The sequence below is a fragment of the Homo sapiens genome, chromosome 11 (genome assembly GCF_000001405.40).
Source record: "Homo sapiens chromosome 11, GRCh38.p14 Primary Assembly".
In the NCBI taxonomy this organism is placed as follows: Eukaryota; Metazoa; Chordata; class Mammalia; order Primates; family Hominidae; genus Homo; species Homo sapiens.
In genome coordinates this window covers 106051098-106077397 of record NC_000011.10, presented here as the reverse complement: position 1 = coordinate 106077397, position 26300 = coordinate 106051098, and the positions used below count along the sequence as shown (strand labels likewise).

At 35.9% G+C, this 26300-nt stretch overlaps 1 protein-coding gene across 5 annotated transcripts, besides 2 other annotated features; it reads left to right on the top strand.

The window, feature by feature from the left end:
- Positions 19-128: an enhancer, noted in NCBI's record as "active region_5466". NCBI's record gives its function as "activates an Ori minimal core promoter by ATAC-STARR-seq in GM12878 lymphoblastoid cells {active_cell/tissue: GM12878}" and the evidence as "EXISTENCE:reporter gene assay evidence [ECO:0000049][PMID:35858748]".
- On the top strand, positions 51-26300 carry KBTBD3 (kelch repeat and BTB domain containing 3). 5 transcript variants are annotated; one of them, NM_198439.3, is made up of 4 exons: positions 51-86; positions 691-891; positions 18289-18533; positions 22943-26300. In NM_198439.3, the coding sequence occupies exons 3-4, from the start codon at positions 18301-18303 to the stop codon at positions 24546-24548; spliced, it is 1839 nt and encodes a 612-aa protein (NP_940841.1). In that variant the 5' UTR covers positions 51-86; positions 691-891; positions 18289-18300; the 3' UTR covers positions 24549-26300. The 5 variants fall into 5 exon arrangements, with proteins under 5 accessions (NP_940841.1, XP_006718830.1, NP_689646.2 ...); XM_006718767.4 differs by having other exon boundaries at positions 691-894; NM_152433.4 differs by lacking the exon at positions 691-891.
- Positions 139-258: an enhancer, noted in NCBI's record as "active region_5465". NCBI's record gives its function as "activates an Ori minimal core promoter by ATAC-STARR-seq in GM12878 lymphoblastoid cells {active_cell/tissue: GM12878}" and the evidence as "EXISTENCE:reporter gene assay evidence [ECO:0000049][PMID:35858748]".

Sequence of the window (26300 nt, the reverse complement as noted above, 5' to 3'; positions counted from 1 at the left end):
TAACGGGACAGCGGTGCAGGCCAATCGCAACCAGTCCTCTGGAGGCAGGGAGACTGGGGTGGAGACTTCGGAGACTGCAGTTGCAGGTGGGTGAGCTCCGGGGTCTGAGGGAGGAGTGGGATGGTAGCCCTTATTCTCAGGGTCTGAGTTGGCCCCTGTGACCCACAGAGAAGAGAATGTCCTTGGCTTCAGCTGCTTCGTGTACGGGGCACGAGAGGTTTCCATCTCTAGGAGGGGGTCTGCAGTGGTGCCCCCTGCAGTTGTGCAACGCATCAGCCCTGAGTTCCTTCTTTCCCTGCCCCCATCCGCATCAGCCTAAGACCCACCCTCACACAGTACGCTCCCGACCCTTAGCAGCAGCCTACCTGAAACCCTCCCTCCGAAGGCCGAGCAGAGGCACTATCCCCAGTGCGCAACACTGACCCCGCCTGGATCCGAGGCTGCCAGCGAGCAGCTGAGCTAATGCTGGCTGTTTATTTGGGGCGATGAAGCGACCCAGGTGCTGTTTTGCTATTGCCAAGCCTGGGCTAGAGCACTAGCGAGAAAACAGGATTCCATTGTTGAGGTATCAGTGTTTCCATCATGACAGAGGTCCTTGCTCTAACAGCAACAGAAACAAGTAAATAACTTTGCTCAGTTATTTTCTCAGACTTTGCGAAGGGTCATATTGATGTATGTCTGTTTCCTTAGTTGTTCCGTGTAGGCTGTTGTTGACTCTCGTATGAAAGCCCACGCGATCCAAGTGCCCTGCAGGTTTTGGTCCAGGGAAAAGTTGGTCTCTGCAGATGACTGTAAATGACTACCTGGAGGTCGATTAAAGTGCGGTACTGCGGGATTCAGCCGATTTCCTTCTTCCTCTGACTGCCCGGAAATATCAGCCAAAGGCCAGCGGTAGTAATTAACACAATTACCTGCCTATGATTTCTGTCCTATTTAAGATGGGTTCTATTATGTTTTTATCTATACTTGTCTTCATTAACTTTTCGTGATATCATAAGCCCCCCGAATCCCTCGAAAGTAGATGGGATTCTGAGCACACACACACACAAATTCAGATCCCCAAAGGACAGTAAAACGAATTATTGGCTTAATATATCATCTTAGCTAACCAAAAGCCTGTGTCAGCTGCCATGTTGAAAATCTGCTTACCAGCTGCAGGGAGCTTACAATCTGGTAAGGCAAATAAATCATACGCATAAAAAGTACAATAAGAGACAGTGTAAAGATACGTAAGTGATACTAATACCCATATCAGCAATGATCATAACTCACTTCTCCATTTTTAACTAAGAATCATATAACCTTTCCTTCTTGTCGTTTTAAACTGATTTTTATAACTTTGATACATTACGTTTCTGTTTCCAAAACACTTCTGTGTACGTTATTGCACATGTTCTGTGCACTAGTTATTACTGATGGAGACAATGAGCTCAGAAAGAGAATTTGTTTAAATTCAGGAATTCATATCCCATTATTTTACCATCGAGCAAGATCTCTGTGTATTAGATCTATGGAGCCTAATACACAGACAGTAACGTAGGGATTATTTGTACTTGGTCTAGAATCTAGAATATTCTCCCCTTCTCCCATTATCACATTCCTTGTTTCCTCTGTATCATTCAGGCCCAAATCTCATACCAAACAGAATGTCTCTGTTCACCTAGTCTAAAATAGCTTACTCTCTCCACTTCCAAACCTCAGCCCCAAACCTATCACCCTGTGAACATATTTTATAGGTTTGTTTAATCCCCTTCCCTGTGTGGTTTTACAAATTCTCCAGAGCTTAGCTTAAACCTTCTCTTAGGGCCTACTTCAGAGTACCTTTTTCCAAAACAGTATTGTTTATGTAATTCATTTGGCAGTTATTCTAGTATTGCCTTATGACGTCTCTCCTATTGTCCTGAATTATTTTCATGTGTGTTATCTTGCAAAATAGAATGTACAGTACTTGAGAGGGAATGTCATGTATACCTTTTACAAATAGTATACATGAGTAAATGTTATTAATGACTCCACAATAGATTTATTACTGTCAAGGGTAACACTGCTTTTTATATTCTATCTGCCTTTACTTCCCTCACTTTTATTAAGGAAATATAAATATGCAGTTCATAACTTGCTTAACTATATTAAATGAACCCAACAATTTTATTAAAATATTTTTTACTGCATTGGTCAGGGGAAGAAGAGGACTAAAGTAATAGGGGCTCACTCAGTCTGTAATGATCATCTTGCTTGGTGCTGATCTGTGGCTTCTTAGCAGGATTCTGAGGGACTCGTATTCTATTTCCAGCTCTACCACCAATTGTCTGTGTGACATTGGTCACACAGGATCCTATGTGTGACATAACCTCTTCCATGTATTAATTTCAATGGAAAGGCATCGGATGAGATCATCTCTAAGTCTAGGTGTTTTTTAGATATACTCACTAACTTTTTATTGGGTCACAAACTTTATTCTACCTCAAACCCTTCTTTTTTCCCCCAAGACTTATTTGAATAGCTCCATAATTCTACCAGTTTCTCAAGGAAGAAACCATGATGCTGCTCTTCTTTGACTCCCTATATCCAATCCATCTCCAAGTGTTTTTGGCTCTATTTCTAAAATACAGAAAAATCCATTTATTTCTCTTTATTCCCACTGTTAACAATCTAGTATAACCCACCATCATTTTTCATCTGAAATACTAATCAGTTTTCTAGCCTGCCTGAGAAAGGGGAGCACTCTCTTCCAATGTCTTCTATGCCATAAGCACAACTTGCTTTCAGAGCTAAATCTAGAAATCTATGCCCTTAATTCTTATGTTACATTGCCCTCTAATTAGACTGAGAAGGAGAGGCCAGCAAGGTAGGAAACCTGAAGAATGTTGTGGCACAGAAACTAAAAGACGAGTGTTTCAAGGACTAGTTAACAGTGTGAATTATCCTAAGAGGTGAAATAAGATGAGGAGAGAGAAGTGAGAATTTACCTTCAAGATGGTAGTGTGGTGACATTGACAAGGGCAGTTTTAATGGAGTAAAAGAAAGGAATTTTATTGTAGTGGGTTGAGACGATAACTGGAGGTGATGCTACCACAGAGTGTCCTTTAAAGAAGTTTTTCTGGATTTAGGAAGTAGAAAAATGGAATGGTAGCTAGAGGGAATAAAAGGTCAAAGGACAGATTTTTGTTTGATGTTTGTTTAAAGATGGAAGATACTAGAATTTGCATGCTAATGGAAAATGTCTAGTAGGGTGGGAGAAGCTCTTAATGTATGAGAAGGAAGGGGTATGTGTGTGGGGGGGGGTGTTCGGCATTCTAAAGTAGACTCCAGGGTAGAGGACCTTGTCTATGTTGTTTTTCGCTGTATTTCTAGTATCTAGAATAGTACCTGCCACAATATTTGTTACTCCATAAACTGTCTAATATTTGTTGAATAAATGAATGACTTGGACCCTACTTCTCTTACCTCCTTTCAATTCATTCTTGACATATTAGCTAGAAAAATATTTTTTAAAAAAATGATGTCATGTCACTGTCCAATTTAAAGTAATCAGTCGTTCCTATTTCACTTAGAATAAAATCCCAGCTCCTGTGACCCATAGCATCCTGACTGAGGTAGCAACTGCCTTCTGCAGCCCTATCTCCTAACCCTCTTCCTTTCATTAACTACTCCAGCCACACTGGCCGCCTTTAATTTCCTAAAACTGAAGGACTCCTTTACCCCTGTAGGGCTTTATATGTGATTTCTTCCACCAACCCCTTACCTTCTTATCATTCAATTCTCAAATGACACTTCAGAAAGGCTTTCCCTAATATTGTAGTGGCTGAAAGCAAGGGCTCTTGAGCCAAACTGAGTTCACATACCAACTCCCTGCTTACTTGCTATATGATCTTAGCCAAATTACTTAAATTATCAAAGCCTGTTTTCTCTGTTTGTAAAATGAAGATAAGTATCTCCTTTATCCAGTTTTTTTTTTGAAGATTAAAAGAGTATGTGTAAAACATATAGCATGGGACCAGGCATGGTGGCTCATGCCTGTAGTCAACAGCACTTTGGGAGGCTGAGGCATGAGGATCACTTAAGGCCAGGAGTTTGAGACCAACTTGGGTAACATAGTGAGATCCCATCTCTAAATTAAAAAAAAAAAAAAAAAAAAAGCTGAGTGTGCTAATGCACGCCTGTAAATCCCAGCTACTCAGGAGGATGAAGTGGGAGGACTGCTTGAGCCCAGGAGGTTGAGGCTTCAGTGAGCTGTGATCTTGCCACTGCAGTCCATCCTGGGTGACACAGCAAGACCCTGTCTCAAAAAAACAAACAAAAAATATAGTACAAAGCATGGCACATTATAAGCACTGTATAAGTGTTCCCTGTTACCCCTTTTGTTATTGTCTGAAATTGAATGCCCCATTGTTCATTTTTATTTCCACTTCCTACTTGTGTCTTCACAGTACTTATAAAAATGTATAATTATTTATTTGCCTACTTTATTTATTATGTCATTTTCACCAGATACTGGACAAGGAAAAAGCAGGGACCATGTCTGTCTTTTATTCTCTTTATATCTCTAGTGCCTAATTCGGTGCTTGTCATATACTTAGCATCTATAATAAATATTTACTAAAATAGGCCAGAAATCATGCTGTATATTGAAACATCAGTGACGAAACTAAGATCACTGTAGGACCCAGTGAAATCAAAGCCCAGATCAGGCAGAGCACAGCTTTAGTTTAACGTTCTGCTTTTATCAAGTGGCATATGATTTTTGTCATTACTTTTTATCAAAGGCTTGGTTCTTAGGCTTGACTCTTCTACCTTTATTCATTCAATTCTTTAAATCAAATTTTAATGGAAGGCTTTTAAAAAAAAGAATAACAATCATTTTAAAAATTGAGTCAGTGTTTTGGGCAGGAAGGTGTTTCATTGAAGCTGGGGTGTAATCTTAAAAGTACACTATTTTATATACTACTAAGAAAAAAAATGCCAACTATGGCACAACTCTTTATCACTAAGAATTTTTTCTACTCATGCAAAGAGCCCCCTTTTAAAAAAATCATATAACACCCTTGCACCTACATACAAAGAACAATATGAGCAAAATTCATTGGCTGAGGCATTCCTAAAACTTCTTAACATTCAAAGTGTCTTTTCATTGATTTTCAACTCAGAGTCTCTGTGTCCATGTTTTATTTTCATAATATCATTCTCTGTTTAGAGCATTAGTGATATATCATTTCTTAAATCAATGTCCATTATTATCTCCAAGGTTTTCTTCCAACACACTGATATCCATTCTTCAAATTTAATACACATGTAATGACAAATATGTCATGACTACTACCCAACCAGAGTGATTTTAAGATGCCTGTCAGTTTCAGATAAGTGTGAAAAAATTTGTGTCTTAAAATCAATGAAATAGCATAATTGAATTTGAAGAATATTTGAAGAAAAATAATTGCCTTATAAATCTTTTGCCAAGAATTGAGAATTGTTTAACTGTTAATAATGTTATTGATTTTAATCATTAATATTTACATATAATTTGACGATATTAACTTAATATTCATTGTATCATTTAAGTCTCACAACAGTCCAGTGTCATAGGTGTGTCCACTTTGCAGATGAGGAAGCCAAAGCCTCAGAGAGCCTAAGTAGGAGTCACTAATAAGTGATGAACCATTTAGGACTATTTCTCTAGTTGCAAATGTCATATTCTTTGTTATTTGCAAAATACACTTATACAAGTAGGATTTACTCAAATGAAATTTAAGAAATAGAAATTTTCAGCTCCTTAGATTTGTCATTCTGTATAGAATATACATGGCAGACTTTTTTTAAAAACAGTGTTATAAAAGTGAATAGCTATCTGTGATTCTTTATATTATTTTAGGATAGTTGAAATTTTCAAGTAAAACTTGTTTTTGTTACTATTTATAGAAATAAAAATAACTTTGTGTTTACATCATGTGGTCCACTTATTCATGAACCATGAGGCTCAATAATTGACTTAATCCAACACAAGATCTAAATTACATACATGATTTTCATGACAGTAAAGTTAATTAAAAAGTGTTTGTGGTTAGAGTTTTAAAAATTGATATTCTCAGGACCTATGCCACTATGCAGAAATACAGTTTTTATTCTTTTGGAAGTATCTCCTTTAGTCACCTTTTTACTGTTTTATTTCCGACTTATTTTACAATACAGAGGAATGATTTTATACCAATTAAATAATTATGTTTTATTTGCATTTTCTATGTTTTGAGCAAGAAGAAAGCTGGAACATCAAAATAGTTTCTGAATTGATTGATCTTTTGTTATCTTTTAATATCTTAAAATAATTACACAAGAAGTTGTAAAGATAGAGTTTCCATGTACCCTTCACCCTGTTTCCCCATATGGGTGCATACATAATTCTAGTAAAAGATCAAAACCAGGAATTTGACATTAGTACAATGTGTGTGTGTAGTTTCTTGTAATTTTCTCACGTGTAGATTCCTGTAACCTATCTAAATTATGTGTATCAACACTTCATCCATTTTTAATGGCGAGTAGTATTCCACGGTATGGATGTACCATGATTTGTTTACTCTTTCACCTATTGTGCAACATTTTGGTTGTCCTCAGCTTTTGGCTATACAAATGAAGCATTATGAAACATGTAGAGGCTATTGCACACACACAAGCTTTTATTTCTAATGGTCAGCAGCATGATTCTTGGGTAATATGGTATGTGTATGTTTAGTTTTTTTAAGAAACTGCCAAACTATTTCCACCAGCAATGTATGGGTGATCCAGTGTCTCTGCAAGCCCTCAAGCATTTGGTGTTGTCATTATATTTTATTTTAGCTATTTTGATAGATGGTTAGGGATATTTATTGCAGTCTTAATTTCCATTTCCATAATGACTAATGATGTTGAACATCTTTTCATGTGCTTATTTGCCATCTGTATATTCTCTTTGGTGAAATATCTCTTTGTGCCTTTTGCGCATTTTTTAAATTGAATTGTCTGGTGTTTTTACTGGTAAGTTTTCAGATTTCTTTATAGATTATTTCTTTATTAGATTCAGTTTGCAAATATTTTTTTCCTGGCTCATAGCTTGTCTTTTCATCCTCTTAAATAAAGGGACTTTCACAGAGGAAAAATATAATTTTGATATAAAATCCAATCTATTAATTTTTTTCATTTATGTGTTATGCTTTTGATGTCTAAGAGCTCATTAATGAGACCCTGGTTGCAAGGATTTTCTTCTGTATTTGCCTCTAAAAGTTTTATATTTTACATTTAAATCTATGACCGTTTTGAGTTAATTTTTACATAAAGTATGAAGTATAGGTCAAGGTTCATTTTTTTGTTGCCTGTGGATATCCATTTTCTTCAGCATTTTTTGTTAAAAAAGATTCTTTTTCTTCCATTGAATTGCATTTGTACCTTTGTCAAAAGTCACTTGGCTGTACTGTATGGGGCTACTTCTCAATTGTGTATTGCATTCCACTGATCTATGTGTCTCTCCTTTCACTAATATTACACAGTATTGATTACCATAGCTATAGTAAGTCTTGAAATCAGGTAGACTGATACTTCCCTCATTATTATTCTTTTTGGTTGTATTAGATATTCTATTTTCTTTATCATTACATATAAATTTTACAGTAATCTCATCTGTATATACAAAAAATTGTGCCAGGATTTTGATAAAAAATGTGTTAAACCTTTATATCAGTTTGGAGGAAATTAAGGGGACATCTTTATTAAGTTGACTTTTCCAATTTGCAGACATGGCATGTCTTTCCATTTTAGTCTTCTTTTATTTTTTTTTTTAGCATTTTATATTTTTCAGCATACAAGTCCTGTGCATGTTTTGTTAGATTTATACGTAAGTATTTCTTTCACTTCTTTTTTTTTTGAACTATTATACTTTTAATTTTTGTTTTTGTTTTAATTTTTGTTTCTATGTGTTTATTGCTGGTATATAGAAATATGATTGATTTTCGTGTGATGCTCTTGTGTCCTGTGGCATTGCTGAACTTGCTGATTCGTTCTATGAGGTTTTTTTCTGGTAGATTCCTTTGGAGTTTCTACATGGACTATCTTGGAATTTGCAAATAGAGGCAGTTTTGTTTCTTCCTTTCCGATGTATATGCCTTTTATTGAATTTTCTTGTTTTAGTGTGCTTGCTAGAGCTTACATGCACTTGGAAACTGAATAATATACTTCTAAATAAGTGTGAACTATGATGAATAGCAGTGGTAAGGGTGGACATCCTTGCTGTTTTCCTCATCTTAGGGGGAAGGCATTCCATAATTTAGCATAATGTTATCTATAGGTTTTTTGTAGATTTTTCTCTACCAAGTTGAGAAGGGGGAACTTTTCCCCTCTCTTTCTCTTTTCCTAAGAGTTTTCCCCATAACTGGGTGTTGTATTTTTTCAAATGCTTTTTATGCATCAGTTGATATGGTCTTGTGTTTTTTCTTCTTTAGCTGCCTAATAGGATAAATTACACTAATCGGTATTCAAATATTGAAACAGCCTTACATCCTTAGATAAACTTACTTAGCCATAGTGTATAATTCCTTTTATATATTGCTGATTTTTTGCTAATATTTTTTAAACAATTTTTGCATCTATATTTGTGAGGTATATTGGTCCATAGTGTGGGATTTTGGTTTTTGTTTGTTTGTTTTGGGTACCGTCTTTGTCTGGAGTACCACAGTAATACTCACTTCATAAAATTAGTTGGGAGTCTTCCTTCTGCTTCTGTTTTCTTGAAGAAGTTGTGTAGAACTGGTATTAATTCTTCTTTAAACTTTTGGTAAATTTAATCTCCTTAATGGTTACAGGGCTGTTCAAATTATATATTTCATATTGGGTGAGTTGTAGTAATGTAAGCACTTAATGCTAAAAATTTTCCTCTCACACTATTTTAGCTGCATCATACACATTTTGATATATTGTATTTTAGATTTTCTTCAGTTCAATGTATGTTTTAAATTACACTTGAAACTTTCTCTTTGATCCATGGATTATTTAGAAGTGTGTTATTATGTTTCCAAGTGTGTGGAGATGTTTATGTTATCTTTTTGTTATTGATTTTTAGTTTGATTTCATCGTGGTGAAAGAATATGTAGTCTGCTGTTGTTAGGTGGAGTTTTCTATAAATGTTGATTAGATTCTGTTGATTGATGGTGTTGTTGAGCTCTATATGCTTACTGACTTCTTGTCTAGTTCTATTAATTTTAGAGAGAAGAGTGTTGAAGTCTCCAGCTATAATAGTGGATTTGTCTATTTTTTTTTCAGTTTTATCAGTTTTTGCTTCACATATTTTACAGCTCTATCATTTGGTGCATATATATTTTTGACTGCTAGTCTTCTCGGTGGTGGATGGGCATTACATAATATTCCTTTCCCTTCCTCAAGTCTACTTTATCTTGTAATTATATTGCCATGCCTGCTTTATTTTAATTAATGCTTGCATAGTATATCTTTTCCTATCCTTTTACTTTCAACCTACTTATTATATTTGAAGTGAATTTACTTGTAGGAAGCATAAAGTTGGGTCACTTTTTAATCTTCTCTGGTAATCTATCTTTTAATTGGTATATGTAGACCACTTACATTTAGTGCAATTATTGCAACGTCAGTATTGAAGTCTGTAATTTATTTTCTGTTTTCTGTTTATTCTGTTTTTATTTCTGTTTTTTCTGTCTGTCTCCTGTGGCTTACTTGAACTTTTTTTAGAATTTAATTTTGATTTAGCTATAGTGACTTATGAACGTTATCTCTTTGAATAGACCTTTTTTTTTTTTGACGGAGTTTTGCTCTTGTCTCCCAGGCTGTAGTGCAGTGGCACGATCTCGGCTCACTGCAACCTCTGCCTCCCGGGTTCAAGCAATTCTTCTGCCTCAGCCTCCTGAGTAGCTGGGAGCCTACCACTCCAGGTGCCTGCCACCACACCCAGCTAATTTTTGTATTTTTAGTAGAGAGGTGTTTCACCATGTTGGCCAAGATGGTCTTGAACTCCTGACCTCAGGTAATCTGCCCTCCTCGGCCTCCCCAAGTGTTGGGATTACACGTGTGAGCCACCATGCCTGGCCTGCATAGATGTTTTAGTGATTATTTAGCCTTCTCCAATATCATTCTAGTAGGAGGAGAACGATAGAAGCACCTCATTATAGCCTGTCATTAGTGAAATTCTAGGCTCTCCGTTGTACCTTTGCAGGCTTGGGTGGGTATAGAGCCAGAATTTTTTTGTGTGGTCTTCTGCTCTGGTGGAGTGGTTATTTCCTTAAAACTTTTGTCTTGTTAGGTTGCTCCTTTTCTGGTTCTGTGATTAAAGAGGGCAGTTTGGAGGCTGTTTATGTGTGTGCCCACTGGTGTATCAGGGTTGCAGCTTTTGTAGGATCTAGAACATACTAGGCAAAAGGAAAACCCAGGGAACTCACCAGTATGTTGTTCCTCAGATCACTAGTCAGTCTGATTTCATCTTTCCACTTTTCATCATCTTCATTTATTTGTCTTCATATGTATGTATATATATGTTTATTTATATTTATATATACCTCCAGGGTTTTTCGTTATTGTTGTTGTTGTTGTTTTTGTTTTTTTTGTACTTAGCAGGAGAAATAGGGAAAGATACATCTAAACCTTACTGGAAGCAGAGTCTTTTTGTTTTTTTTTTTTTTAATAGGGATTATATTTTTAAGAATCAAATCAAATACTATGTGAACTCTGTGGCACAGCTTACTGGCTCACCAAATATTAGCTGGTATTATCATGTATGTCATCCTTATTAAGAATGATCTTAAATTGCTGTGGTAACTTTTGACAAGTACATTTATAGTTGGATCTAAAGAGCACTAAAATTGCTTTCTGAGCTTTCATTTGATATTAAAATCCAGGGTCAGAATGATTCATTTTGGAAATAACATGGACATTTAGTGGAATAAGCATGTTTCTACTAGTTTTATGTTTTTAGGCATGTTATTTAATCTCTGAGCCTCAATTTGCTGTTTGAAAAAGTAATTATTAATACCAATCTTAAAGGATTATTATGAGTGTTGGATGAAATAACTGTATAAATTATTTTTGATAAATCCCGGTACCTTCATTCTTATTATATCACTAAACAACTAAACAACAAATAAATGGCTAGAAACGGAACCATTTGTTTGCCTATCAGTGTTTACCTGTCAACAGAAATAGAAGTTTTGCTGTATAGTATTGTTCTCCAATTTATTGGTTTAAAGGTCCAAAACATTTTGCTGTATGATGTGGATGTAGATATTGAATTTAGATTGTTGTGATCATTGTCAAAATTTCCCTCCATATATGCCCTTTGTTTTCAGTTTATTAACATGCACAAGTTTCTCCCATCTATACCAAAGCAAAACAAAATTTCCTGGTATCTACATGCTCCTCTAGGCCCCACCTGATGATTTTTTTTTTTTTTTTTTTTTTGAGACAGTCTTGCTCTGTCATCCAGGCTGGAGTGCAGTGGTGTGATCTCAGCTTACTGCAACCTCTGCCTCCTGGGTTCAAGCGATTCTCCTGCCTGAGCCTCCTGAGTAGCTGGGATTATAGGTGCCCACTACCATGCCTGGCTAATTTTTGTATTTTTAGTAGAGACGGGGTTTTACCGTGTTGGCCAGGCTGGTCTTGAACTCCTGATCTCTGGTGATCCACCTGCCTCAGCCCCCCAAAGTGCTGGGATTACAGGCATGAGCCACCGCGCCCAGCCTTGATGAACTTTTTAAAAGAATAATGTCTATAAATTGTGCCCATTATTTCCACTTAACTCCACTCTAATCCGTTCTCTCCCTATTTTACCCCAAATTATCAGTGACTTTTTTCCCATCACCTTTTGATGATATAGGTGACAACTTCATACTTGAAATTCTCTTCCCTTAGTTTCTACTGCCTCTCCTGGTTTTCCTCCATTTCTCTCACTGTTCCATGTGAATTCTTCCTCAACCATATACCTTGCTCACTTTGTGTCATTCACAAATTCTATTTTCCACTATATTTTCAATCCATCTAGACCAGCACTGGGTATGTAGCAAGTGCTCCACAGATAACATGTGTACATATCGATCATGTATAGAACAAAAACAGGCCGGGCGCGGTGGCTCACGCCTGTAGTCCCAGCACTTTGGGAGGCCAAGGTGGGCGGATCACGAGGTCAAGAGATCAAGACCATCTTGGCCAACATGGTGAAACCCCGTCTCTACTAAAAATACGAAAATTATTATGTATTTTTGAACAAAACCATTGTGAAAAAAATATTCAGTATCTACCCCACATCCTTTTCCCCATGTCTCCCCTACTGGATAGCCTGGAGGATGGGGTAGTAATTACTGCTTTAGAATGTTCCATGTTGATCAAATATCCTTGCCAACATCTATTATTCTAATCTTCCAGAGAACTTTTAGAAATCCAGTGGAATATAAGGTTGTAGGAGATAACCTATCTTTTGATCCTCAGTGTCTAACTTCTTCTATCACATTAGAGGGATTTAAATACATATCTTTTAGTGGATGAAAATATAGAGCGATTCCAAGGGGCATCCAGGCAATCTGGACTGAGTCACCCGATTCTGTAGTTATTTTAGACAGGCCATAGAGATTCCCTATAATACTATTATAGGTTATGGATGCCCGAGCTCATCACTAGACTGGAGAATGAGACCAGGAGTAACATCTTGGCTACACTGTGACACTGAGAAGACACCTTGATCCTTTGCACAGCTTTAACACATTTCTGTCAAACTAGTATAGACTGTTTTCAATCATATTGTCTGTTTATCTGCTTTGCGTGCCCTTTTGCATAGTATAAATACTTCCTGGCTATTCCTTTTATATTTATTTATTTATTTAGAAACAGAGCCTCACTCTGTCACCCAGGCTGGAGTGCAATGGCATGATCTTGGCCCACTGCAACCTCTGCCTCCCAGGCTCAAGCGATCCTCTCGGTGAGCCTCTCGAGTAGCTGGGATTACAGGCAGCTGCCATCATGCCCGGCTAATTTTTGTATTTTCATAGAGACGGGGTTTCACCATTTTGGCCAGGCTAGTCTTGAACTCCTGACCTGAGGTGATCCACCCGCCTCGGCCTCCTAAAGTGCTGGGATTACAGGGGTGAGCCACCACTCCCGGTCCCTGGCTATTTCTTTTAAACATTTGTTTTCATCATCTTGGAGTTAGGGAGGCTGGCACAAATCTCCCACCAATTCTTTATTATTTCCTTTGATTCTGACACTCCAGATTAAACACCTTTGCAATGATAGCGCTTGTGTTCAACTTCGCTCTTATGCCCTAGGAATTATTAGAGAGCTGCTTCTCTTGTCCCTTCCTCCACCATTTTATAAGTGTAAACTTATTGATTAATGTCAATGAAATGATTTGCTTGTCTTTTCTGTTAAGTTTCTTAGAAAATAAGCCTTAACTTCCACTTATTTTACACACATTATATGCTAAATTACGTTTCTTTTTGAGACAGAGTCTCTCTCTGTCACCAGGCTGGAGTGCAGTGTTAGGATCTCGGCTTACTGCAACCTCCACCTCCCGGGTTCAAGCGATTCTCCTGCCTTAGCCTCCCGAGTAGCTGGGACTACAGGCATGCGCCACCACACCCAGCTAAATTTTGCATTTTTATTAGAGAAGGGGTTTCACCATGTTGGCCAGGATGGTGTCGATCTCTTGACCATGTGATCTGCCCATCTCAGCCTTCCAAAGTGCTGGGATTACAGGCATAAGCCACTGCACCCGGCCAATTATGTATTTTTTAAAATATTCTCAACAACACAACTAGATAGATATAGTTTATCTGCAGTTTACAAATGATGAAAATAATAAAAAATTAGAAGTTATTTACCTCAAATATGTCACAAGTAAATGCTGAACCAGCACTGGAACTCAAGCCTGATTCTAATGCCCTACTTTTTCTTTCATTTCGCATTGTTAAAATAAAAGCTTTAGATAAATAAAATTTAACGGAGTTTGAGCAAAGAACAATTCATGAATCAGGTAGCATTCAAAACTGAAGGAGGTTCAGAGAGCTCCACTCCAGCAGTGTGACCAGCAAGCTTTTATAGGTTGAACATGGAAACAAAGTAGAGAAATTACCTGATTGACTATGGCTAGGCATTTGCCTTATTTGGATATTGTCTGATGGAAGTTCCCTATTTGTAACCAGCAGGTTGGTTGGCTGTTTGTGATTGGCTAAGGCTTGTTTTTGGTTTTTGGTTTTTAAGTCAGTTACAATAAATGTTTCCAAGTTAAGTTTCAGTTCTCTTACATAAGAGGGCTGGCTACAGAGGGTAACCTCAGGCTAATAGCCATCTTATTTAACAACATTATATCACACTCTTGGGAAGATGTATGATTTTTATACAAACTAATATTTCATATCTGTGTATTTTATAAATATTAGAAAAGAAGAGAAAACATGCATAATTTTAAAAACAGTCTTACAAGTGACTTATGAAGATGCCTTGTGAGGTAAAGAATTAGTTCTGGGACATTAGCCATATATAATTGTCTTTATGCCTCACTGTAATTTGAAATACTCTTTTTCTGTCCTAGGTCATATGTTATCAACATTGTTAAGTCAAGATTTGAACTGTTGTGACAGTTAATTTCATTTATAAGCTTGCCTGGGCCATCTGGTGCCCAGACATTTGGTCAGACATTCTGAATGTGTCTGTAAGGATATTTCTGGATGAGATTAACATGTGAATCAGGAGACCAAGTAAAGCAGATTCTCCTGTGTGGTGGGCCTTATCCAATCAAATGAAGAATTGAATAGAATAAAAGACTGAGTAATAGGAAATTTATCCTGCCTATTTGAGTTGGGACATACATCAGTCTTTTCCTGCCATTGGACTCAAATTGAAAAACTGACTCCTCTTGGGTCTTATGCTTGCCAGCTTTTGGATTGAAACTTACACCATTGGCTGTTGTGGTTCTCAGGCCTTTGCACTTGTACTGAAACTGTACTGTCAGCTCTCCTGGGTATCCAGCTAACTAGTTGTAGATCTTGGGACTTCTTAGCCTCTATTATCACATGAGCTTATAATAAATCAATCTTTCACTGTCTCTCTCTCTTGCTCTCTCTCTCTGCCCTCATCTTCATCCATCACATTGGTTTTGTTTTCTCTAGTTCCTTTTCCTCAGAAATAACCTCCAAGCCTTTCATTATCTCTCTTCCTCCATGATACCCACTCTCATTTTTAATATGTCTCCCTATTCATAGTTACTCAGAACACTACACACAAAATGATTTCTACAAGTCACTTAGATTTCCAGCAGTACTGCCAGTTACAACCTATTACTTTCTCCTGCACACACAGGCACATACACACCTCCACAGCCACACACACATTCACACAGGCACGCTATTTTTCCACACAGTGTAATGGCTATCCAGTGGAACTTTCTGTGATGATGAGAATGTTTTATATTTGCTTTGTATAATATAGTAGTCACTAGGCAGATGTATTAATCTGACTTATTCAGAAAAACAGAACTAAAGGGATATATATATACACACACACATATATGTATATGTATTTGTACTATACATATGTATAGGTATTTTTACTATATACTTGTATATGTGTTTGTAATATATATATATGGAGAGAGACAGACAGAAAAACTATAAGGAATTAGCTCATGTGATTATGGAGGCTGAGAAGACCCAAGATTTGTAGTCAGCAAGCAGGAGACTTAGGAGAGCTGATGGTATAGTTCCAGTTTGAGTTCCAGCTTGAAGTCAGGCAGAAAGAAAGAGTTCTTTCTTATTCAGCCTTTTGTTCTATTCAGACCTTCAACAGACAGGCTGAGGCACATCTACAGTGGGGAGGACAATCTGCTTTACTCAGTGTACCAATTCAAATGTTAATCTCATCTAGAACACTCTCACAGACATACCCAGAAGTAATGTTTAACCAAAAATGTGGGCACTCTGTGTCCCAAACAAATTGTCACTCATCACACCACATATGACTGACCACTTAAATGTGGCTAGAGCAATGAGGGACCTGAATTTTTAGTTTTGTTTACTTACAAGTAATTTAAATAGCTACACATGGCTCATGGTTACTGTATTGCATAGCACAACAGTAGATTGTCTTGGTCCTGGAATGGAGCCTTAATTGATGCTGTAGGACAATTTGGACTACTTCTCCAGTATCTAGCTTCCACCTAGGCCTCTTGGAACACCCGCTCTGGGAGAACCAAGCTTCATGCAAGAAGCCCAGCCACTCTGAGACTGTCATGCTGTGAAGAAGCACCAGCTAGCCACTTGGAGAGGGTGCATTAAGAAAGAGAAAACCCTAATGATCAGTGAGGATGAGATTTTTTTCATATATTTGTTGGCCACATAACTGTCTTCTTTTGAGAAGTGTCATATCCTTCTTTTGAGAGGTGTCATATTCTTTGCCCACTTTTTGATGGGGTTGTTTGTTTTTTTCTTGCAAATTTGTTTAAGTTCCTTGTAGATTCTGGATATTAGACCTTTTTCAGATGGGTAGATTGCAAAAATTTTCTCCCATTCTGTAGGTTGCCTGTTCACTCTGATGCTAGTTTCTTTTGCTATGCAGAAGCTCTTTAGTTTAATTAGATCCCATTTGTCAATTTTGGCTTTCGTTGCAATTGCTTTTGGTGTTTTAGTCATGAAGTCTTTGCCCATGCCTATGTCCTGAATGGTATTGCCTAGGTTTTCTTCCAGGTCTCTTATGGTTTGGGGTTTTACACTTAAGTCTCTAATCCATCTTGAGTTAATTTTTGTATAAGGTGTAAGGAAGGGGTCCAGTTTCAGTTTTCTGCATACAGCTAGCCAGTTTTCCCAGGGCCATTTATTATATAGGGAATCCTTTCCCCATTGCTTGTTTTTGTCAGGTTTGTCAAAGATCAGATGGTTGTAAATGTGTGCCCACATGGTATACAGCTTCACAAAAGATTGAATAAAGAAGCAGATATGAGAATCTAGTTGTCTTCCATTAAGCCAGATGTTAAAGAGATTTGCAAAAATATAAAACAATGTAACCCTTCTCAAGAAACTTTTTTTTTGTTTTGGAAAATAGTTATTTTACAGTTATCCATTTATATATTTTTGTAGTTATATATAGTTATATACATAGGTATGTATATAAAATGGATATATATGAATATGTGTATTAAATAGATATATCGAATATAGTTATATCAAATTTTTTCTTTTTAAATGAATCAATAAATATTTAAGTGTTCTCAGAAAAAAAAAACAAAAAAAGGAAGAAAGATCCCCTCTCTTCTAGCCGTCCCAGCTGAATCATAAGAAACGTGAATGAGGAAACCATACTGGACATGTAACCCAGTCAGACCTTCAGATGGCTTCAGCCACAGCTGCCATTTGCCTGTAGTTGTATGAAAGCTCCCAAGCAAGAATCATCACCTAAACTCACAGGACCATTAGAGATTATAAATTGTTGTCTTAAGCCACTAATTTTAGGGTGATAACTGGAACAGAAATGTCGAATCAAGGTTTTCTATTTTTCTGGTTCTCCAAGTTCCCAATCCTCTTTTCCTTTCTGTTTCCCACTTCCTTGCTTTTGATGATGCAACTTTTATGTTTAGAGCTGAATTTGCAGTTCATGATATTCACAATTATCTGATCTTTACCTATCTTGGATTTCTGACCTCATGTTTAAAAAATCTTTCTTAATTAAGATATATGTGATTTTCCTTTCTACTTTTAAATAGCCCAACTTGGAAAAGTGCTTGCCTTTTTCTTCTTCACTAAAGCCATAACTAATTAATGCAATCTAACACTGATCTTTTTCAACCAATTATCTTGTAAAAGTCTAACCTCAGAAGGCATATAGTCTATGGTCCAAGATCAGCATTTTAACAGCTACTTTGTTACCAGAAGAGAATGGATTGGAAAGGAGGGGGATTGTGTTGGGCATATACTCAAAACTATGTTAGAAATAATACCTCTTATGTATAGTAATAATATTAATCATGTAGTGAAATCCTATATAAGCTATTTATACAACTTGTACATTTTGCTATTTAACACAATTATATAGCCTTCAATGTTAGCCCTTATGAAAAATATACTTTTATTCCAATGAGCTCAACATTTATGAAAATTCAAAAGGAATTTAATATTAAATGTCAGGAAAACAAATGTTTAAAACAAGTTTTACTGTCTTATTATTTTTCTTAGTGGTTATTTTTGTGTATTTGCCATCAAGAGGGCGAATTTTGGAGTCTGAAACTTGCATTAGGTCTCTACTACATCGGTGATTTTGTTTTTATTCTAGTTCTAAGGACATATGGAATTGGCTATGGATAATTCATATGCTTTCAATCAACGAAGCACATGTAATGGAATTCCATCTGAGAAGAAAAACAACTTCCTTGTATCAGAAGATCATGGACAAAAAATCTTAAGTGTACTACAGAATTTTAGAGAACAAAATGTCTTTTATGATTTCAAAATAATTATGAAAGATGAAATAATCCCGTGTCATCGTTGTGTGTTAGCAGCATGCAGTGACTTTTTCAGGTACTTTACCTTGTCTATGCCTCAGATTTTATGATTTGGATAATTAAGTTCTATTTTATACTGCACTCAAGTTTTTCCCCACAAGAACATGCAACAGTAATTTTTAATTCTAAAAAAAAAAACAAAAACAAAACCTAATTAGGCTGGGCACGGTGGCTCACGCCTGTAATCCCAACACCCTAAGAGGCCAAGGCGGGCGGATCACCTGAGGTCAGGACTTCAAGACCAGCCTGGCCAACATGGTGAAACTCCGTCTCTACTAAAAATACAAAAATTAGCCGGTCGCAATGGCGTGCGCCTGTAATCCCAGCTATACAGGAGGCTGAGGCACAAGAATCGCTTGAACCCAGGAGGCTGAGGTTGGGTGAGCTGAGATCGCGCCACCGCACTCCAGCCTGGGCAATGGAGCGAGACTCCATCTCAAAAAAACAAAAACAAAAAACCTAATTAGAACCAAGATTAACTAATGATTTTTTTTTTTTTTTAGAGGGAGTCTCGCTCTGTCGCCCAGGCTGGAGTGCAGTGGTGCGATCTCGGCTCACTGCAAGCTCCGCCTCCCGGCTTCCAGCCATTCTCCTGCCTCAGCCTCCCAAGTAGCTGGGACTAGTGCCCGCCACCACACCCGGCTAATTTTTTGTATTTTTAGTAGAGACGGGGTTTCACCGTGTTAGCCAGGATGGTCTCAATCTCCTGACCTCGTGATCCGCCCACTTCGGCCTCCCAAAGTGCTGGGATTACAGGTGTGAGCCACTGCGCTGGGCCGTGATTTTTTAGTAGGAGAGAATTTAAGACTACCTTTTTTTAACGTATAGGTCTTCCCAGGTCAGCATTTCCCAAAGTTCTCTGGAACATTAATCCCTTGAACTACGCTGGGACAGAAGAAATTTTTTTGATGGTGTCAGCTTTGTTTGGGGGATCCCTGTGTTGTATTATTTTAGAAAAAGAAGACGACAGGTTGAACAAAAATGGAAGCAAAATTTGAAGAAAATAACTCTGCGAGAAAAGAAAATTTCCGTCCTGTGTTGTATTCATGTATTACGGGGAGAGGAGGGTCTAACCGATTTAAAAATTTATCCTCTCCTTAGCAAATTCATCCTCTCCTTATATTAGGGAAAAGTACTTCTTAGCTATAAGGCATTTCTTGAAAGCTCTCAGCTTGTTCTAATTCTAAGCAACCTTCTGAATATAATTTGGTTTCCCATGTAGATCACCCTAAAGAGAATGTCCTATTCATAACACTGCAGTAATCACTATGATGACAGCAGATTTCCATTTCTGCGAAGTTAAGGGTCAGACACATGACCTTGCAATTACTGTGTTAATTGTATCAAGGTAGTACTATCCTGTGAGGCTTCTTGGTCAATAGACAAGCCCCTTTTGGTGAAACCCTGATCTTCAGCCTTCCTAGTTATACTACAATAAACTTAAATCCTAATTGCAATATTTTGCATTATGTTCATTTGTGGAAGCAATTTTAATTTGAATTAAGCAGGGTTTAAATCTCCAATAAACTTGATTAAAAAATAAGGTTTAAGATATAGAAATACTAAGATGCATATTTTATATGCAAGTTAATTTATACTGTTTTGAATCCTCAATTTAACCCTTAATTTTTTTTTACCACCATCTAATTAGATCTCATCCTTATTGCCTTTAGAGTAAATCTTACAAGCTAGATTTCATTCAACAAACATTTACTGATACATACTTCCTGCTAAACACCTGTTCCTGTAGGGGCTCTTGCTTTGAAATTGGGAGCAATGGCTTAGTACTGCAGCACAGTTTACTGGGGCCATGGAGGCTACAACGGTCTTGAACTAGCTGTTTGCCTAATTTGACTATATGTCTTCATCTATTCTTTTTATTTCTTCTCTCAGTTAATCAAAGTTGTTCTTTGAACTTCCCTGGGGCCCTTACTGTCTTATACTCTGCCATTCTTATTTCTACCAGTGTCTTCCCTCCTCTCTTATAACCTAAGTTTTCTTCCATGTAACTCTTTTCTGCCCCCATATCCTTCAGGTCCCCTCTTCATCACAGGAAGCTGTGTGGTACAGTGGTTAAGTAGTGGGCCTCTTAATACATATGCCCTAAATCTAAATCCAAGCTCTACCATTTACTAGACATGTTTTATTAGGCAAGTTACTTAACTCCTTCAGGCCTCAGTTTCCTTATTTGTAAAAAAGTAGGATTATAAAAATGGGACTTAACTCATAGAATTATTATATTGCTTAAATGAAATAACATATAAGTGATAATTAGCACCGTACCTACTACATTCAGTTAATATTAGCTGCTATGATTATTATTTCTAAACCTAGCAAAAATATAAATAATCTGGTGTGAACACACAGCTTGATTTCCCTGTGATGTTTTCATGCTAATAAAATACTCTTATGTAGGCATTTCAATTTATGGACCTGCACTCTTCTTGATGCTATTTTTTATTCAATTTACATATAATTTTTGCACATATTTCTTTGTTCAGCTTACTGCTAGTTTTTTATAGGTCTGCTTTTAGTTTTTAAAATTACTGTTAGAACAATGTATTTTTAAAGTTTTCTACCTGGTTTAAATAACAAAAATATCAGATCCTTTATTACATATAGTACTTTATTAAATGAGTACATAATTCACATTAAAATATGTACATATGTAATAGACATTTGACAATTTACACTCTCCTATAATGCTGCTAATTCACAATATGATCAAACTCACTCAATGGAATACTGAAAATGTAAAATAAAAATGTCAGAAAAGTGCACAATGCATGAAAATATCCCTCTTACAGTGTTTTTGGAAAACAAAAATTATTACTGAGATGGAATGTCATTGGAGACAAGAAATTGAAAAGGAATCACACATGTTTTATACATACTTTATGATAAGATGGTAAATTGGAGATAGATGTTAACTGGATACTCTAAGATTAATAGAATGAAATATAGAAATATAATCTTACACGTGTCTTCTCAAAGAAAATGTGGAAGCCGATAGTAAATTATAAATACATCAAATCTGATAGAAAACATTTTTTAAAATAATGATACCAATAAAAGCTAATACTTTGCATCAGTTAACCCATTTATTCTTCTCAGCACCCAATGACATAGATACTACCAGTACCTGCATTTTCAGATGAAGAATTTGAAGCACAATAAAGTTAAGTCACCTCCCCAAGGCCACACAGCTAATAAGTGGCAGTGGCTACATACACTGGCAGCTGGGCCCTATGGACCATATAGCCAGCTGGGCTACATGGACTCTTAATATTATCCTAAACTGCTGTAGGTGTCTTAATAATCCATATAATTATTATCACAGGTTAATATTTCTATTGATATACATTACTAAAAATCCCTGCGTAATGTGTAACATTTTGCAAGTCCCCTCATATTTTTCAGTTGGATGTTGTACTTTTTAAATAGATTTCATTACCTTCTTGAGTAGACTCTGATAAGTAAATTGGTTTTCCCCTAGTATACTTTGGGCAACTAGGAACACTGCTCAGAAAGACATCCTGGACAATACTGGCACAAATACAAATCATTATTAAACCAGAAGCAATAGTAAAATACATTTTGTTCCATGCCCATACATTTCCAAATAATTTATGTTTTTACCTAAACTGAGCCAAAGAAATTCTCAGTTCCTTAGATTCTGTCAACTTTACCATGTAGCAATAAAACAAAACTTATTATGAAGAACTTTCAAGCTGGTCTAATTATTCAAATTTGAGGGCCTATCTCTATCTCTCAGTGCCTATTACCAAACTTTTCTTTTTTTCACCTTTTTGCTTGATGTGGTACACTGTTATTGTTTAGTTTTAGGAAATCACATTCCCCTTCTCCTAAAGAACTATATAAAATATCTTTTTAGACATGTATCTTATTTGGTGAATTTTCCCCACCCAATAGAGTCATTGGAGACATCAGGTATCTTACTGTACTCTTTTCTGTTTCATTAATGTGAAATCAAAGATGAATTTGAAAGACACTTTTAAATCCTAAGCCCTAAATAATTATATTTTAAGTAATTTTAGTTATCACCAGCACAGCTGTTACTAATTAATCCATAAATAAAGAAATTTGGCCATCAGCAAGATTTTGCCCCAATAGTATTAATAATAAACAAGTATACAAAATTTGAATCTTTTTATAGTCTTTTTTTATTAGTTGCTATAGCTCAGCTGTAATGTACATTTTTGTAATATAGGCATTTTGTAATATGTTTGTTGGCAGATAAATAATATATTATATAATTATTCTAGATATTAATTAGGAGGCAATTAAAATATGCTTTTATAAATATATTTAAGTCAAGAGTAAGGAAACCTCTTTAAGGTAATATTGAAAATAATTATGGAATAAAATATTCTTGCTGTTTTTCTGTGTTCTTTATTTTTGCAGGGCTATGTTTGAAGTAAACATGAAAGAAAGAGATGATGGAAGTGTTACCATTACTAATTTGTCCTCCAAGGCAGTAAAAGCATTTCTCGATTATGCCTATACTGGAAAAACAAAAATAACAGATGATAATGTGGAAATGTTCTTCCAGTTGTCATCATTTCTTCAAGTTTCCTTCCTATCCAAAGCTTGCAGTGACTTTTTAATAAAAAGTATTAATCTTGTCAATTGTTTACAGTTATTATCTATATCAGATAGCTATGGCTCCACCAGTTTGTTTGATCATGCATTACACTTTGTACAACATCACTTTTCTTTATTATTTAAATCCAGTGATTTCTTAGAGATGAATTTTGGAGTACTACAGAAATGTCTGGAATCAGATGAATTAAATGTTCCTGAAGAAGAAATGGTACTGAAAGTTGTCCTTAGTTGGACTAAACATAACTTAGAATCAAGGCAAAAGTATCTGCCTCATTTGATTGAAAAAGTGAGATTACATCAGTTATCTGAGGAGACACTTCAGGACTGTCTGTTCAATGAAGAGAGTTTACTCAAAAGCACAAACTGTTTTGACATAATCATGGATGCAATTAAGTGTGTGCAAGGTTCTGGTGGACTCTTCCCTGATGCTCGACCATCCACAACTGAGAAATACATATTCATTCACAAAACTGAGGAAAATGGAGAAAATCAATATACATTTTGCTATAACATTAAATCTGATTCATGGAAAATACTGCCGCAATCACACCTGATTGATTTGCCAGGATCTAGTCTTTCGAGTTACGGAGAGAAAATATTCTTGACAGGTGGTTGCAAAGGGAAATGTTGTCGAACGGTTCGACTGCATATTGCCGAGTCATATCATGATGCCACTGATCAAACCTGGTGCTACTGTCCAGTGAAAAATGATTTCTTCTTGGTATCAACTATGAAAACACCAAGAACCATGCATACATCAGTTATGGCTCTCGATAGATTATTTGTCATAGGTGGAAAAACTAGAGGATCCCGGGACATTAAAAGTCTCTTAGATGTTGAATCTTACAATCCTCTTTCCAAAGAATGGATATCTGTTAGCCCATTACCCAGAGGCATATACTATCCAGAAGCAAGCACATGCCAAAATGTAATTTATGTTCTTGGATCAGAGGTAGAGATTACAGATGCTTTTAACCCATCACTTGATTGCTTTTTTAAATACAATGCTACAACTGATCAGTGGTCTGAACTAGTAGCAGAGTTTGGGCAATTTTTTCATGCAACATTAATTAAAGCTGTACCAGTAAACTGTACACTGTATATATGTGACCTTTCCACCTATAAGGTTTATAGTTTTTGTCCAGACACTTGTGTTTGGAAAGGCGAAGGATCTTTTGAGTGTGCAGGCTTTAATGCAGGTGCAATTGGAATTGAAGATAAAATTTATATATTAGGTGGTGATTATGCACCAGATGAAATCACAGATGAAGTGCAGGTCTACCACAGCAACAGGTCTGAATGGGAAGAAGTTTCACCAATGCCTAGAGCCTTAACAGAATTTTACTGCCAGGTGATTCAGTTTAATAAATACAGAGACCCATGGTTTTCTAATCTATGTGCTTGAACATTCTAAAACGAGTCCAGTTCTAGTAACCTAAAGTAAATTTGTTAACCAAAATGATAGGTAAAAAGATCTATACATCTTAATGAAATAAAACATTCCTGCTTTTAGTTATTATGTATGTACACCATATATGAATAAACAGTTTCCAAAAACTTAAAATACAAAATATATTTTACCAAAAATTATACTGAATATAATTTAACCTTGGGGAATCCAGAATACTTAGTATTTTCACATGAAACTACAAATCATAGACTCTGACACTTTGATTTTTAAAGTACTCTGTCCATAAAAGATTTGTACTGTTTAGATGGGAGAAACCTCTAGAGAGAGTAAAAATGAATTACACTGTATCTTATATGAAGTAAAAAATAAATCAGAGGTGAGAATATTGTTACTGCGGGTATGAGTTGTTGAATTCCTATCATTTGTGATGATTGGTTAACTTCTTTTAGGTACCCTTTTTACCCTTTTTTAGTTCAGAAATAATTCTCCCAGCTTTATAAATAGTACACTAAACATAGTTTAACTTTTTTTAATGACTCATTTTTTCATTAAAAGCATAATGTACCATGTTATAATGCCATTAGCAGTTACTTAAATGCTTTAAAAATTGCTGATTAGTTTTCAATGTCAGTTGGTTTCAATTTCTAGCTCTCTCTCTCTCTCTCCTCCCCCCCTCTCATTTTCTGGTTCAATCTTAGTAAATTAACATTCTGGATTTAATTAGTAGTTCTAAGTTACACCTGGCCTGAGTTTATGTTAACATGTAACCCTCAATTGGAAATTTTTGGATTCTGGGATGGCAGTACTAAAATACTTTTTATGTATCATTGCTAGGTTCCAGCCTAATTAAGGACATAGAAAATTGACCTCTAATTAAGTGGATCATTATTATGGCATTTCTTAAGCTTTATCCAAATTTCAGCTACATAAAACATTTCAGGATTTAAATTAGTACCATATCAATTTTCTGTGATGATGTATACCAACTATAAAGCACTATGTTGGTTTACTACTTCAGTAAATTATTCTTAGTGAATTATTTTCTAAATTAAAAAAAATGACTTGGCTTTTGGTATTGATAATAGTATTCACAACCTGCATCTGTTAAGATGTTTGATCTTTAACCCACACAATGTAAGGGTACTGTTGTCATTGTTCTCAGGTAGGTGATTCTGCCTTCCAAGAGTATATGTTTCTTTAATCAGTTTAAAAGATAAAGGCATTTTGGGTTTTAAGACCCCTGCTTTACATCTCAGGTAATGTGTAGATTGTACTTCTCTGGAACCAAATGTAGTTTTCTACACTCAGTTGTAAATGTTAATCTTTCTCAAATGTGCACATTCTTTAAAAGTGTGTTCCTAAGTAGAAATACACCTAAATGAAGATTCTCTTATTTTATCATATAAATTTATGCAACGATAAGTTCCAAATGTATTTTTCAAAACAGAATGGAATATCAGAGTACATTTTCATGAAGTTTAAAAATCAAGGACTGTTCCTGATTAGATGACGTATTTATTGGTGGCCTTCTTATCTAAGCACATGAGTAGTTGGCTCTGAACTTTGTGTATTTGAAAAAGGAAAATTCAGTGGAGGCTTTTGTTTGTGTGTGTGTGGCTTTGAAAACAAATTATTTGAGAAAGACCATAACACAGTGAGTAGCCTATATGTGCATTTACTGAATTGTTAATTTAAGGATATATATTAATAGAGTATGTTTAAAATAAATATTGTTTTCATCACTGA

What these genes read in the sequence shown, in the direction of transcription:
- KBTBD3 (NM_152433.4), top strand. Translation starts at nt 18,301, where the DNA reads ATGGAATTGGCTATGGATAATTCATATGCTTTCAATCAACGAAGCACA. An exon ending in GCATGCAGTGACTTTTTCAG is followed by an intron (nt 18,534 to 22,942) that starts GTACTTTACCTT and finishes TTATTTTTGCAG; the next exon opens with GGCTATGTTTGAAGTAAACA.